This window comes from Homo sapiens, chromosome 10 (assembly GCF_000001405.40).
Source record: "Homo sapiens chromosome 10, GRCh38.p14 Primary Assembly".
Lineage (NCBI taxonomy): Eukaryota > Metazoa > Chordata > Mammalia > Primates > Hominidae > Homo > Homo sapiens.
This window is the reverse complement of record NC_000010.11, coordinates 27140971-27156709: the sequence shown is the minus strand read 5'-3', so window position 1 is coordinate 27156709 and position 15739 is coordinate 27140971. Positions and strand designations below refer to the sequence as shown.

At 42.7% G+C, this 15739-nt stretch overlaps 2 protein-coding genes across 26 annotated transcripts in view, besides 4 other annotated features; one reads left to right on the top strand and one right to left on the bottom strand.

Annotated features, from left to right (window-relative positions):
• Positions 1 to 2231, bottom strand: part of MASTL (microtubule associated serine/threonine kinase like) — a 33475-nt gene extending 31244 nt beyond the window's left edge. For 17 of the 22 annotated variants that reach the window (NR_135469.2, NM_001372029.1, NM_001372030.1 and 14 more), the window contains exon 1: positions 1098 to 1358. Coding sequence is in view for 19 of the 22 variants with exons in the window: in NM_001320757.2 (NP_001307686.1) it covers positions 1098 to 1283 (186 nt within the window). In the remaining 3 variants the exon portion in view is untranslated. Of the gene's footprint in view, positions 1 to 1097; positions 1359 to 1482 lie in introns of those variants that run through there. The other 5 variants (XM_017016853.3, XM_047425916.1, XM_047425919.1 and 2 more) reach the window with 1 other exon arrangement.
• Positions 667 to 916: an enhancer, noted in NCBI's record as "active region_3181". NCBI's record gives its function as "activates an Ori minimal core promoter by ATAC-STARR-seq in GM12878 lymphoblastoid cells {active_cell/tissue: GM12878}" and the evidence as "EXISTENCE:reporter gene assay evidence [ECO:0000049][PMID:35858748]".
• Positions 1267 to 1476: a silencer, noted in NCBI's record as "silent region_2244". NCBI's record gives its function as "represses an Ori minimal core promoter by ATAC-STARR-seq in GM12878 lymphoblastoid cells {active_cell/tissue: GM12878}" and the evidence as "EXISTENCE:reporter gene assay evidence [ECO:0000049][PMID:35858748]".
• Positions 1271 to 1469: a silencer, noted in NCBI's record as "fragment chr10:27444170-27444368 (GRCh37/hg19 assembly coordinates)". NCBI's record gives its function as "represses an EF-1alpha promoter that drives an FKBP-Casp9 reporter gene in an ReSE screen in K562 erythroleukemia cells {active_cell/tissue: K562}" and the evidence as "EXISTENCE:reporter gene assay evidence [ECO:0000049][PMID:32094911]".
• Positions 1537 to 1596: an enhancer, noted in NCBI's record as "active region_3180". NCBI's record gives its function as "activates an Ori minimal core promoter by ATAC-STARR-seq in GM12878 lymphoblastoid cells {active_cell/tissue: GM12878}" and the evidence as "EXISTENCE:reporter gene assay evidence [ECO:0000049][PMID:35858748]".
• The window catches only part of YME1L1 (YME1 like 1 ATPase), a 44274-nt gene continuing 30860 nt past the window's right edge, over positions 2326 to 15739 (top strand). Inside the window, exons 1-5 of one of the 4 annotated variants that reach the window (NM_139312.3) lie at positions 2326 to 2532; positions 7670 to 7804; positions 9042 to 9212; positions 11120 to 11282; positions 14225 to 14323. In NM_139312.3, coding sequence (NP_647473.1) covers positions 2500 to 2532; positions 7670 to 7804; positions 9042 to 9212; positions 11120 to 11282; positions 14225 to 14323 — 601 coding nt within the window. In that variant the 5' untranslated portion in view covers positions 2326 to 2499. The remainder of the gene's footprint in view (positions 2533 to 7669; positions 7805 to 9041; positions 9213 to 11119; positions 11283 to 14224; positions 14324 to 15739) is intronic. The other 3 variants (NM_014263.4, XM_011519300.4, NM_001253866.2) reach the window with 3 other exon arrangements.

Genomic DNA, 15739 nt, shown 5'->3' with positions numbered 1-15739 from the left:
ACCTGGCTAAATTCAATCTCGGCTAAAAAAAAAACTACACAAATCAGCCAGGCATGGTGGCGCGCGCCTGTAATCCCAGCTACTCGGGAGGCTGAGACAGGAGAATCGCTTGAACCCAGGAGGCAGAGGCTGCAGGGAGCCGAGACTGCACCACAGCACTCCAGCCTGGGCGACAGAGAAAGACTGTCTTAAAAAAAAATTATTAAAGACTTCTCAGAAAATAGTAATCTTTCTTCTGGTTAAGAATAAAACTTAAAAAGTTATCAGTGCCTACAGATTAATCACTCTTCTGTGGTAGAAAAATTTCGACGATTCTGCACGTCAAAGCAAACAAGGTAAACAAAACCACTAATTACTAAAAACCTTTTGGATTTAGAAACCTAACTCGCCGGGCGCGGTGGCTCACGCCAGTAATCCCAGCACTTTGGGAGGCCGAGGCGGGCGGAATACGAGGTCAGGGAATCGAGACCATCCTGGCTAACACGGTGAAACCCCGTCTCTACTAAAGAAACCCCGTCTCTACTAAAAATACAAAAAATCAGCCGGGCGTGGTGACGGGCGCTTGTAGTCCCAGCTCGTCGGGAGGCCGAGGCAGGGGAATGGCGTGAACCCGGGGGGCGGAGCTTGCAGTGAGTCGAGATTGCGCCACTGCACTCCAGCCTGGGAAACAGAGCAAGACTCCGCCTCAAAAAAAAATAAAAAAGAAACCTAACTCAAGCCAGGGTGAGACTACGAATCACGGCTTTGGCTTTAAGTGCCTGTTGTACTAAGACCGATGTAATCACCTCGGTCAAGTCCCTTTGCCTTTGGCCTCAGTTTCCTCATTTGCTAACGCTGGGCAGGGAGAAGAGAGTCAAACTTTGCTGTTCTCACTGGGCATCTGAGATATGGAGGGAAGGGCGGAACAGAGGCGAGACACCCGACCCGACCGCTGATGTCGCCCCAAAAAGAAGTCAGCTCGCAGGGCTCTGGAGGCTTCAGCAAGCCAGGCCACCCAGACTCCTCGCTCCAGCAACCCCGGGGCCTGCCCAAGCCGGTGGGGCAGGAAGGAGGGCCGAAGGGCCTAACCCCTTCCTTGCTACTCGTTGACTTCCTACCTTTACTGCATACAATTTGCCGCCTTTCTGCCCCAGATACACTTTCCCGAAGGCGCCCCGGCTAATGGGCTTCACTATGCTGAATTCCTCAATGGAGGGCGGTTTTGGCACTGCGATCCTATTCACGCCCTCCTCAGTCGCCGCGCCTCCTCCAGGCTCCTTCTTGCTTCCCGCGGTGGGATCCATCGCTGGACAGCATACAGCGGCCCCGCAGACACTGCCCCTCCGCGAGCAGCCACTCCCGCCAACTGGGTTCAAAGTGAGGCTCCGCCCACGCCGCGCGCGGCCGTGACGTCACCCCGCCGCCGCGCCCCGCCCTCGTCACCTCCCCTACGCAGACGCGGACGGAGGGGGCGTCGGGAAAGCCCCGACTTCGCAGCCTTACACTCTTCGTGGGCGGCGACCGCGGCCCCACTGACATCATTCCTCATGAGGGAGGAGGCACAAACAGTTCTGGGCCGACCAGAAAAAGGACGACTGGGACTTGACTCTGAATCGCAGGATTTGAAGAGATTTCTCCTGGCTTCCCAACGAGGCTGGTGGGAAGCGGTCCTCCTCCCATACACGACCTCCCACCCTCGCGAGGCGTAGAAACCAGTTCTGACTGTACAGTAAAGCGAGGGCCAGGGCTGAGGTCTGGAAGCTAATGAAAGCACAGAAAGTGTCGAAACTGGATGAGCAGGAAGCGAGTGGCCTCCCCTGTCATCTGACGTTTTCCCAGGATGTAATTTGCCTGACTGAAACAGATCAGGACCAACAGGGAGAGTTTTCGATTTAGTGTGAGGAAAAGAGCACTAAATTGTAGCAAAAGACCTTATTGCTCAAGGCCCAGTCAGAAGATTTCATAAGGAAGCTGTAGAAAGTCTTAAGAGGAAATCAGCCGGGCGTGGTGGCGGGCACCTGTAATCCCAGCTACTCGGGAGGCTGAGGCAGGAGAATCGCTTGAACCCGGGGAGCAGAGGTTGCAGTGAGCCGAGATCGCGCCACTGTACGCCAGCCTGGGCGAAAGAACGAAACTCCGTCTCCAAAAAAAAAAAAAACGAAGAAAAAGTCCAAAGAGGGTAAAGGCTGTTCTCCCCTTAAAAAACAGCTAAAGACCTTTGGGGGCGCTGCTCCTTGTAAATGTCAACTACTTCCGCGGGAAAGAACGCGCAGGCACTTGGCCTTGTGGGCGCTCACTTGCCCCGGAAGTACTGTTGAGTTAGCGCCTCGCCTTCCGGGGCGGATTGTCTGTCGTTGCAGTAGCTGTAGGAAGGGGAGGCCATTTTCCGTTTCTGGGAGGAGTGAGGGGCAACGGGTCGGAGAAAAAGGAAAAAAGAAGGGCTCAGCGCCTCCCCGCCGGGCCGTGGACAGAGGGGCACAGTTTCGGCAGGCGGGTGAGGTCGCTGAGGGCCCGCCGGAGATGTTTTCCTTGTCGAGCACGGTGCAACCCCAGGTAAGCCAGGCATTCAGCCCATTTTTTTTCCTCCCGCCCTGCCCGTGGCTGTTTGCAAATTGCGCTCGTGGAAGCGATTTCTCAGAAGGGACTCTAGAAATGAAGTGATGTACTCAATGCGAATCCCAGGATTGAGGAGTGGATCAGGGGACGACGCTGAGAGTGGGCCGGAGACTTCAGTGCTGACGATGAAGCTGTTGAGGGCAGAGGCGGGATGTGAGCTCAGTGATAGAGAGAGACCCTGGCTTATCGAACTGATTGCGTGGAATTTCTGCTAGAGAATCCGTCCGGCATTGTTCAGTGTCCGGCGTTCTGGGGTGGGAAAATGTCTGTACCATACATTAAAGGGAGCAGGTAATGTTCCCTTTTTTCCGACTTTCCAGTGGCTTTAGTGTTCACAGCCCCTATCCCCTGCTCTTTATTTCCTTTTAAATGGAATTTAAATTTAACCCAAACATGGTATAATATTTCGGATGGCCAGCCATGCAAGTTTTTTTCTCATTTTGACCAGAAGTAACTAAAATGTGTATTTCCGAGTCGTAAACTGTTTGCAGTTAAAATTTTGATTCAGCCTCATCCTCATCGTTTTGTAAAACAAAAGGTAGTGAAGAGAAAAATGATTTCAAGGGTTTTCATTACGCTCTTGGGCAATCACTTGTGACAATGTTTTATTCTTGCTTCATTCCAGTCTCTTTTTTTGATGGTAACATTTTAATAGATTTTTTGAGAGTTCCTACAGTTTTGCAAAGAAATAGTTTTTAAAACATTGAGTTTTTTTAAAACATAATTTTTAAGAAAATCGACACTCTTAGGTTCTTGATTTAAGCATATGATTGTGTTCCTTTGTGTAACTTTTACTCCCCCTCATTTTAAGAATTTTTAATTTTTTGTGCTAGTACTGGCTAACAAACTGAAGCAGCTGCTTGTTATTGGGCATCAGTTATGTACCAGGTGAGCAAAGCAAATGTGGAATCTTCTCTTAATATTGATATGAAGTAAATATGAGTAGGACTTAGCAAGGTGAAGAGTGAACAGGTATCACAGGCATACAGAAAAATACCTGGAGGTCCTGAGTTAGGAAAGGGTTTAGCAGGTTGAAGGAACAAAAATAAGGCTAGTGTGGCTAGAACATAGTAGTTAAAGGGGGTAGTGACAGAAGAGGTTGGAGAAAAGACTTGAGGCAGATCATACAGGGAGTAAAGGATATATTATGGCTGATTTCATTTTAAGTGTATTGGGAACCATTGAAAGTTTTAAAACATGATTAGATTTTCATTTTTAAGAGATGACTGGCTTTTGCTATATGGAGAATAGGAGAGGGCAAGAGTGGAAGATGTTATCAGCTAAAAATACCCACCCACCCCCCAATTAAAGCTGTTGCAGTGGTTATGGAAAGAAGAGAATGAGATATATTTTGAAGAAAGTGGAATTGCATGAGAGATCAGAGAGATGATGGGGAGAGGTGTTTCTGGGTTTGATCAGATGAATGCATTGAAGGTGCTATTTACCAAGATGACAGTGTCTGGAGAAGTCCTAGTAATTGTTTGAAAAAGAAGTCTGACATGGCCTATTGAATATGGTATTGAAGTTTTTGAAACTCAACTCTTTGCCTTAGTTCACATCAAGAGGCCTGATTTTAGGAGAATTTACCATCAACTGAATGGACAGTTAGTAGTATGTGATGTTGGTAGAGATGATAAAGGGATTTTTATGTACCCTAGGCAGTCTTAACAGGGCTCAAATATAGTGAGGACTCTCAGGCATTTCTTGCTTTGAAGGATGGTAACACATTTGGAATTCCTTGTTGCTTAATTGGTTGAATACACTTGAAATTAAATGGTAAAAAGGAAGACACAGAAAATGAACTTTTTCATTGAGAAGAGCTCAACTCTAAATCCTTTTGTGAAAGAAAAGAGATATAACTAATTCAAATAAAAGAGATATAACTAATTCAAATAAATCTTTTCAAAGAGGTAGAAAATATGTATCTTGAAATGATTTGATTATTTTTAAAGTTTCAAAAGAAGTTACTGTTTATTTTTTTTTCTTTTTACTGCCCCCAGGCTGTAAGGAACTTACTGTTTCTTTCTGACTCTAAAAATGATACATTGCTTCACTTGACTAGCCTTAAAACAAATCCATGTTTTTTTGCTAAAAATGCTGAAAGTATAAATAAGATCGCCCATAATCTCATTACTCAGGGATACGTATCTTAGACTAAATTCTTTCACACATTTTTTTCTATAAACAAACACGGGTATGCATACTTTTTTTTATTTTAATTTTTTTTTTTTTTTAAGATGGAGTCTCGCTCTGTCGCCCAGGCTGGAGTGCAGTGGCGCGATCTCCGCTCACTGCAAGCTCCGCCTCCCAGGTTCACGCCATTCTCCTGCCTCAGCCTCCCAAGTAGCTGGGACCACAGGCGCCCGCCACCACGCCCGGCTAATTTTTTGTATTTTTAGTAGAGATGGGGTTTCACCGTGTTAGCCAGGATGGTCTCCATCCCCTGACCTTGTGATCCGTCCGCCTCGGCCTCCCAGAGTGCTGGGATTACAGGCGTGAGCCACCGCGCCCCCACGGGTATGCATACTTAAGGTAGTTTTACGGTCAGCTTTATTCCTTAGTATGTCACGAATTTATTTGTGTATCAATATCCATGGGATGAGAAGTCTGGAATTTTGAGTCAGATTCTAAATCTTTGTTGTCTTCATCTATTAAATGGTCTGTACCCACAATAATGGCGTTAGTCCATTGATGAGGGCAGAGCCCTCCTGAACTAAATGCCTCTTAAAGGTCCCACCTCTTAACAGGATTACAGTGGCAACTAAGTTTGCCATTGTTCTCAACTCAAACTTGAGTTTTGAAGGAGATAAACACTGGAATTTTTACTGGAAGTGGGCCCTGATCCAGACCCCAAGAGAGGGTTGTTGGATCTCGCACAAGAATTCGAGAGAGTCGCCAGGCGCGGGGACTCACGCATGTAATCCCAGCACTTTGGGAGGCAGAGGCGAGCGGATCACGAGGTCAGGAGATCAAGATCCTGGCTAACATGGTGAAACTCCATCTCTACTAAAAATACAAAAAAATAGCTGGGTGTGGTGGCCTGCGCCTGTAGTCCCAGCTACTCGGGAGGCTGAGGCAGGAGAATCACTCGAACCCAGGAGGCGGTGGTTGCAGTGAGCCGAGATTGCATCACTGCACTCCAGTCTGGGCGACAAAGCGAGATTCCATCTCAAAAAAAAAAAAAAAAAAAAAAAGGCGAGAGAGTCTATAAAGTGAAAGCAAGTTTATTAAGAAGGTAAAGGAGTAAAGAATGGGGTACTCCATAGGCAGAGGAGCTGCTTGGGCTTGTCCACGAAGGATACCTACAGTTAGTTATTTCTTGATTTTATGCTAAACAATGTGTGATTATTCATAAGTTTTCAGGGAAAGGGGGACCCCTAAGGTTCCTCCCCTTTTTAGACCACATAGGGTAACTTCTTGATGTTGCCATGGCATTTTTAAACTGTCATGGTCTGGTGGGAGTGTCTTTTAGCATGCTAATGCATTATAATTAGCACATAATGAGCAGTGAGGACTAGCAGAAGTCACTCTCCTCTCCATCTTAGTTTTGGTGGGATTTGGCTGGCTTCCTTACTACAACCTGTTTTATCATCACGGTCTTTATGACCTGTATCTTGTGCCCACACCCTATCTCATCCTGTAACTTAGAATGCCTAACCTCCTGGGAATGCAACCCAGTAGGTCTCAGCCTCATTTACCCTCATTTTGCCCCTACTCCAGATGGAGTCACTCTGGTTCAAAAGTCTCTGACAGAACTGTAACAAGAAGTATAATTGTTACTCATTATTATAGCTGTTTGAGGATTAAATGGGATGATAGAAGTAAAGCCTGTAGTACTAAACCTGGTATATAATAAGAACCCATTTAATGTATTCATTTACTCAACAAATATTTATTAAGTAAATTTTTTTTTTTCTTGAGACAGGGTCTTGCCATGTCATTCAGGCTGGAGTGTGGTGGCATGATAGCTCACTGCAGCTTCAACTTCCTGGGCTCAAGTGTTTTTTTTGTTTTCATTTTTATTTATTTATTTATTTTGAGATGGAGTTTTGCTCTTGTCACCCAGGCTGGAATGCAATGGCATGATCTTGGCTCACTGCAACCTCCGCCTCCCAGGTTCGAGTGATTCTCCTGCCTCTGCCTCCCAAGTATCTGGGATTACAGGCGCCCAACACCATTCCTGGCCAATTTTTTTGTATTTTTAGTGGCGATGGGATTTCACCACGTTGGCCAGGCTGGTCTCGAACTCCTGACCTCAGGTATCTACCTGCCTTGGCCTCCCAAAGTGCTGGGATTACAGGCATGAGCCACCATTCCCGGCCTACTTACTATTTTTTTTTTTTTAAATGTTGGATGTATTTCATTCTGTGGTAGTTTCTTTTTTTTTTTTTTTTTTTTTTTTTGAGAGACAGGTCTCACCCTGTTGCCCTGGCTAGAGTGCAGTGGCATGATCACAGCTCACTGCAACTTCCGCCTCCTGAGATCAAGCAATTCTTCTACCACAGCCTCCCAAGTAGCTGAGACTACAGGCGCACACCATCACACCCATCTAATTGTTGTATTTTTTGGTAGAGATGGGGTTTCACTGTGTTGGTCAGGCTGGTCTTGAACTCCTGACCTCAAGTGATCCACCCACCTCGGTCTCCCAAAGTGCTGGGGTTACAGGCGTGAGCCACTGCACTCGACCAGTGGTATCATTTGTTTTGCCGCTCCCCTAATGCTGGATGTTTCCAGCTTTCTACTATTTTTTAAATGTTTCGATGAGAGTTGTTCTCTATGCATGTGCAAGTACTTGTCAGATTATTTCCTTATAATAAATTCCTAGAAGGTGGATTGCTACAAACAAGAAATGTATGTATTTTTGATACTTTTGATTTACATATTCAGAATAATATCCTGAAAGAACATACCAGTTTTCGTCTCACCAGCAGTAAATCTGAGTACTTACAGTTTTTAGTATACAGAGTTGATATATAATGTACCTTTAACTCTTAACAAATCCTGACAAAAAAAGGAGATTGTTCTGTTTATTTAAAAAAAAACTACTTAGTTTTTAACTTTTATCTTTTTCTAGGTTACAGTTCCTCTGAGTCATCTCATCAATGCCTTCCATACACCAAAAAACACTTCTGTTTCTCTCAGTGGAGTGTCAGTTTCTCAAAACCAGCATCGAGATGTAGTTCCTGAGCATGAGGCTCCCAGCAGTGAGGTAAGTCTTTATCCTGGTTGTGTGAGAAAGCCTTTTTGATATACAGTTGACCCTTAAACAAATGAAGGATTAAGGATATTGTCCCTCCCCCGTAGTCAAAAATTTGAGTATAATTTTTGACTCCTGAGAAACTTAACTACTAATACCCTACTATTGACCAGGAAGCCTTACCGATAAAATAAAGGGTCCATTAACATATATTTTGTATATTTTATGTATTGTGTACTGTATTCTTACAATAAAGTAAGATGGAGAAAATGTTATTAAGAAAATCATAAGGAAGAGAAAACATATTTACCATTCATTAAGTAGAAGTGGACCATCATAAAGATCTTCATTATCTTCAAGTTGAGTGGGCTGAGGAGGAAGAGGAGGGGTTGGTTTTTCTGTCTCTGGTGGCAGAGACCGGAGAAAGTCCACGTATCTGTGGATCTGTGCAGCTTTAATCTGTGTTGTTCAAGGATCACCTGAGGTCAGGAGTTCAAGACTAGCCTGACCAATATGGTGAAATCCCATCTCTACTAGAAATACAAAAATTAGCCGGGTGTGGTGGCGTGCGCCTGTAGTCCCAGCTACTCAGGAGGCTGAGACAAGAGAATAGCTTGAGCCTAGGAGGCAGAGGTCGCTGTGAGCCAAGATCGCACCACTGCACTCCAGCCTGGGTGACAACAAGACTCTGTCTCAAAAATAAATAAATAAATAAATATAAAAATGTAATCTCATTTTTTGGTTTAATCTAAAAAAAAACACCTGTTTTTACAGGGAAGTGGAATAGGTAGGGATTTAAGAAGTAAATAAAACTCTTAAAAAAATAAAGGACCAGCAGATTTAGGGAGCAGCTCATACTTCTAGGGCTGAGATAGAGTCAGGAAGAGTTCTCCATCCCCAGGGCTGAGATCCTGACATTGTTGGCGAAGGCATGGCCTTGGCTCACTGAATGGTAGAAAAGTTGCTGTGATGTCATGCCAGGGTAACGTGCTAGAAATCTGGGAAGTCTGCCCTCTAGGATACTGGGAAAAGCTGTTCCTGGGGATGTGTCCTACTAGAGAAGCTGTTACACGAGTGGTGCCAGGGGAAGCTGCTAGGTCCTGCTGGCCATTGTGCACGCCAGGAGCCAGGGTTTGGTGAAACTGCACAATTGACAGGAGCCAGATGCTATAGAAACCACGGGTGTTACAGACAGGAACTTGCTAAATGAGCATACCACAACCAGGAATCAAAACCTCTCTTCCTACAGTGTATGTTCAGTGACTTCCTGACGAAGCTTAACATTGTTTCAATTGGCAAAGGAAAAATATTCGAAGGGTACAGATCCATGTTCATGGAGCCAGCAAAAAGGATGAAGAAGAGCTTGGACACAACCGATAACTGGCACATCCGTCCAGAACCCTTCTCCCTCTCAATCCCTGTACACTGCGGGTTTCTCCAAATGCCTATTGTCTATGATTTGTTTTGTCCATCGTTCTTAGTCACGGCTTAGTTCAGGTTCTTGCCATCTTTCACTTGTTCCATCAGCCTTCTCTCTCATCCAGTCTAGTTTCTTTGTTTGTTTGTTTTATCATTTTTAAATTTTTTGTAAAGACAGGGTCTTGCTTTCTTCACCAGGCTGATCTCGAACTCCTGGCCTGAAGCAGTCCTCCCACCTCAGCCTCTCAAAAGTGTTGGGATTACAGGCTCGAGCCACCATGCTAGGCCAGTCTATCTTCCTTAGTTCTCCATTTTCTTCTATAAGACAGAACTAATCATGTTACTTAGAGAATTAAATTCAAACATGGCTCTTCACAGTTTGGCCATAACCTATCTCTTTAATTTTTTCTTTCCTTGAATTTTTTGAGATATTCCAGACCCTTGGATGGCTTTTTGTTTGCCCCCGTCCCTAAGCCGCCTTGATCATTTTTAATAGCTTAAAAAGTACTTTTAAGTATTTTATTTCATCATGCCTTTAACTGTCTTTTACTATGTGCTGTCATGTTGTATGCTAGGATACGTAGATGAGTAAGGCATGATCTCTGCCTTTGATCCTTACTATTAGGAAATAAGGTGTATTTTATAGTTATGTTAGTATTGAGAAAATGAATTCTAAGAATATGAGTTATAGCTAATTTAAAAAGTACCGTATTCCCAGACATCAGTCCAGAGCTATATAATCCGTGTCCATGCCTCTTTTAAAAAAAACTTTATTTTTAGAGACAGGGTCTCCCCTTTGTAGCCCAGGCTGAAGTGCAGTGATGCTGTCATAGCTCACTGCAACCTCCAGCTCCTGGGCTCAAACATTTCTCCTGAGTAGCTGGTGCTGCGGGTGCATACCACCATGCCCAGCTAATTTTTAAATTTTTCATCAAGATGATGTCTTACCATGTTGCTCAGGCTGGTCTCAAACTCCTGGCCTCAAACGATCTTCCCACCTTAGCTGTTTTGGGTTTGAGTAACATGTAATTGTTACTTGCCTTTAAGTGCCTCTCTTTCAGCTCATGTGGACAAGAAAATAATCCCTATCCTGTTGTTTAAAAGTGGGTATACACACATTTTTGTGATTTTTAGACTTTTTTGCCTGATTTTCACACAGTTTTGACTTTAATTTTCTTCTTTATTAGAAGATATGGGTAACTTTAGAACCTCTGAGTTCAAGGAAGGATCTAAGCAATGAGGCCAGAGGAGTGAGATGTCCTATGGTAACCAAGCATACCATTTCTTTGTCAAGTGGGCTTTTGTTTATGGCTGCTTAGGGGCTTAAAAGCTCCATGGACTGGTGAGGATTATCATTTGAATGGAATTTCCCCAATTCAAGAACCTTACTATTATCCTCCAATCAGTTCTACACTGTTGGGGAAAATCCCCTGGACCTTATATAACATACTTTGTAACCCTGCAGTTAGTTACTCTTACACTCTTGTCATTATAAATGCTTGATCAATAGTTGATAGACTAGCTCTTGATCAGAGTACCCTTGTATGGAGAGAAGGAAAAAATGCCATACATTTCACTTGATTCTGTGAACCATAATGCTTAGGACAGTAGTGGTTTGGGTTTGATTTAAAAAAAAAAAAAGTTTTTCTCATTCATGCTGAAATGTCATCTCTTTATTTAAGGATACCATTAGGAATATAATTTTTTAACCTATGTCAAACCTCATATGACTGATCTCAGTAAAACGAACTGTGAAAATATTTGCATCAATTTATTTTTAAATATTAAAAAAAGGAAATATATTTGTTAGACTTTTAAAATCTGATTGTTTTAACTGATAATATGTACTCCTTAGGTTAAATATCTTGATAATATTAATGCATACCTGGTTGACCCAATCTTTTACAGCCTTCACTTAACTTAAGGGACCTTGGATTATCTGAACTAAAAATTGGACAGATTGATCAGCTGGTAGAAAATCTACTTCCTGGATTTTGTAAAGGCAAAAACATTTCTTCCCATTGGCATACATCCCATGTCTCTGCACAATCCTTCTTTGAAAATAAATATGGTATGTTAATGTGTTTTTTGTTCCAATTAAATATTTTAGCACTATTAATAATTATAGATACCATTTCTTAGCTTTCACAGTAGCGTTTATTGTGGGCTGGGTTCTTTCCTGAAGTGTTTTTTTTTTGTTTTTTTTTTTGCAATTTTTCATATTGAAATAGTACCAGATTTACAGGAAAGTTGCAAAGATAGTACAGAATTTTGCTTCCACTAATTTTGGCATCTTACATAATCATGTTACATTTGTTAAAACTAGGAAATTAACATTGGTACAATAATTTTTTTTTTGAGACGGAGTCTCCTTCTGTCAGCCAGGCTGGAGTGCAGTGGCACAATCTCCGCTCACTGCAAGCTCCGCCTCCCGGGTTCACACCATTCTCTTGCCTCGGCCTCCCAAGTAGCTGGGACTACAGGCGCCCGCCACCACGCCCGGCTAATTTTTTGTATTTTTAGTAGAGATGGGGTTTCACCGTGTTAGCCAGGATGATCTTGATCTCCTGACCTCGTGATCCACCCTCCTCAGCCTCCCAAAGTGCTGGGATTATAGGCGTGAGCCACCGTGCAGGCCTAACATTGGTACCTTATTTTTAACTAAACTACAGACTATTTGAATTTCAACAAAATTTGTTTTCACCAAATCACTAGTTCTCTGCAAGTGTCCTTTTTCTTTTCCAGGATCTGATCCAGCATACCACATTGCATTTAGCAGAATGGGGGGGCGTTGTTTGTTTTAATTTTAGGTGACACACATTTAATTCCAGGAAACATACTTAATCTTTGAGAATACATTGATTAAAAAAACAGTTGTTATCCCTTTTGTGGAATGTCTACATTTTTTTTTACTTGAATCTCATAACAGTATGGTAGTATAATAAGTGGGTTCATACTAGTCTGAAAAGGGATGTCAACTTTATGAGTTTTTCTTTGGATGGCACTTAAACAGGCCATAAAAATCCAGGAACAAAATAGCAGGTTTGACTAGTTTATAATGAAGGTTTGATTTGAAGCTGTCCTTTGCATAAACTTAATTCATTAATTCTTGACCCTTCCTTTGCCTTTATTTCAGTGTAAGGGCATAAAAAACCGTAAGTGTGAGGAAAAAATGAAATGGTTTTGAGCTTGGGGGCTTAGACTAAAAGTTTGCCTCTGCCTAAAGTTGCCTTCTTATAAAATATTTGGCCCATACCAAGTGTTCAATAGAATAAAATTCTTTTTGTTACTATGTTATTATGATTATTCCTACTGCTCTTCTAGTCTGCATATTTACATTTACTCTTAAGATTGTTCCTCATACCACCAGCTGCTTGCTAGGTTTAGGCAGGCAGAGGTATTAGGAAGAGATTTTTTGACTGGATGCTAAGGGACCTTGAAAAAAGTCCCTAAATTCTAACTGAGACACACAAATAGATGATAGCCACTGTTTGTTTCTGCTGTTGCTGCTGATGATCTTTTCCCTAGGATCTTGGATATAAAATAGGATGAGACACACTAGTCAAGAGAAGCAGTTAGGAAGGATCAGTGAAGTATTCATGGCTTGACCTTTCTTTTTACCCAATGACTAGGGAAGCTTTATGAGGGAAAGATAATAGTAGCTATGATTCACAGTGTTTTATTATACCATTAGAGCTTTTGAAATTGTCTCTAAGAAACAGCAGTTCTTTATCTCTTTATGTTCTTAACTAAAAGTAATTTTAGCCTAAACACAGTACATCTTTTTTTTTTTTTTTTTAAAGAGACGAGTCTTGCTGTGTTGCCCAGGCTGGAGTGCAGTGGGGCAATCTCGGCTCACTGTAAGCTCTGCCTTCCCAGTTCACGCCATTCTCCTGCCTCAGCCTCCCGAGCAGCTGGGACTACACGCATCCGCCACCACGCCCGGCTAATTTTTGTATTTTTAGTAGAGACGAGGTTTCACCATGTTAGCCAGGATGGTCTGTATCTCCTGACCTCGTGATCCGCCCGCCTCAGCCTCCCAAAGTGCTGGGATTACAGGCGTGAGGCACCGCGCCTGGCCTTAAACACAGTACATCTTTTATCACTGGTTTTGTTTTGTTTTGTTTTTGAGACTGAGTTTCACTCTTGTTGCCCAGGCGGGAGTGCAATGGCGCGATCTCAGCTCACCACAACTTCTCCCTCCCGGGTTCAAGTGATTCTCCTGCCTCAGCCTCCTGAGTAGCTGAGATTACAGGCATGTGCCACCACACCCGGCTAATTTTGTATTTTTAGTAGAGACGGGGTTTCTCCATGTTGCTCAGGCTGCTCTCAAACTCCCAACCTCAGGTTATCCACCCACCTCTGCCTCCCAAAGTGCTGGAATTACAGGCGTGAGCCACCACACCAGGCCATTTTTATCACTGTTTATTTGAATTTAGTTTCATTAGCTACATTTGTATGCCAGATAAAAAAGATAATGTAGGCTGGGCACAGTGGCTCACGCCTGTAATCCCAGCACTTTGGGAGGCCGAGGTGGGCAGATCAGGAGGTCAGGAGATCAAGACCACATCCTGGCTAACACAGTGAAACCCCGTCTCTACTAAAAATACAAAAAATTAGCCGGGCATGGTGGCGGGCGCCTGTAGTCCCAGCTACTTGGGAGGCCGAGGCAGGAGAATGGCGTGAACCTGGGAGGCAGAGCTTGCGGTGAGCCGAGGTCGTGCCACTGCACTCCAGCCTGGGCGACAGAGCGGGACTCCGTCTCAAAAAAACAATAAATAAATAAAAATAATGTAACCAACAAGTGATAGCTAGTAAATGGAAGAACTGTGAGATGTAGTTAAATTAGCGATGCTTTAGATACTTTCATAAAAGCAGTCATATCATGGATAAATAAAAGTTGAAACTCATATTGTGATTTCCCTAATATTTGATAGAATTATTTATATTTCATAGGATTTTTGTTTTTTGGTTTGGAAATTAGAAAATTTACTTTTTGCAATTTCCCTCCAGGTAACTTAGATATATTTAGTACATTACGTTCCTCTTGCTTGTATCGACATCATTCAAGAGCTCTTCAAAGCATTTGTTCAGATCTTCAGTACTGGCCAGGTATGAAGCAACAACCATAAATTGTGGAAAAAAAAATATTTATTTACTATAGTCTGATTTGTCTTTCTTAATGGTATTAATTCTAAACATTCATTTGCAATTCACAGGACCTAAAGAGTATTTGGAATTAATGAGTTTGGGTACTTCTGTATAATTTTTAATCTGGAAAATATATAGGAGCTAAATTTTGAGCGTGATAGTGCCACAATAAATCAAACTCCAGGGAACTTATCTACGCTTGTTTCAAGATAAATGACTAACCACATTTGCTTACTCATCCTCACTTTCAAAAGCCCATTGAAATTAATTTTATATATATATATATGAGAAAAAAAGAGCAACAACAGAAGCGTTCCGTTAACGGACGAGAAATTTGAGGGCTTTCAGTAAGTTGTAAAATAAGTGACATCAAATTGACAGTAAAATCAAATTTGCATTTATTCATATAATTTTTGAATACAAGGCACTAGTGATAGATGTCAGGTGATAGTGATCACTGTAAATGAAAAAGACATGTTTTCTACCTTCATGGGACTAATGGTGTCATGAAAGAGGTGAGTACTTCTGTTTCCAGTAGTAGAACTCAGGAAAAACCCCACTTCCAGAGCCAGTAAAATTGGGCACTGGGATGGGATGGAATAAACAGTTGAAGATTGCCAGAAATGGGCCAATCACAGTGCAGATATGGCCTTTAACCTTTAGATAAATTAGCAAAAAACACCTTTCTAATAAGACGTCTGTGTGTGTGTGTGTGTGTGTGTGTGTGTGTGTGTGTGTGTGTGTGTCGAGGGACATCTGTCTGTGGAGACTCCTGGTTTGAGCATTGATGCCAAGGAAAGAAAGAAGCTAGCACCCCAGATTACTTTGGTTTTGAATTACACATTCGCTAAAGTATTCTGCTCATTTAGCATAGTCCATGTTTTATATTCTAAGTATATTTACTTTTGCTAGTGTTGAGGATACCCATTTGTAGTCAATACTGATGACTGTATTTGTTTTGTTTTGTTTTGTTTTTGAGATGGAGTTTTCCTCTTGTGACCCAGGCTGGAGTGCAGTGGCACTTCCTGGGTTCAAGCAATTCTCCTGCCTCAGCCTCCTGAGGAGCTGGGATTACAGGTTCCCACCACCAGGCCCAGCTAATTTTTGTATTTTTAGTAGAGACGGGGTTTCACCATGTTGGCCGGGCTGGTCTCAGAACTCCTGACCTTAGGTGATCCGCCTGCCTTGGCCTTCTAAAGTGTTGGGATGACAGCATGAGCCACGGTGCCAGGCCCTGATCACTGTATTCTTATTTATAAATACAAATGGATTACCAAGAATCCACATATTTGAGGAAAACTTAAAGCATAAAAGAGAGGCACCAATTTCAGCAAAGAGACTAATAACCCTCTAAAGAAATAGTTAATGCAGAAGACA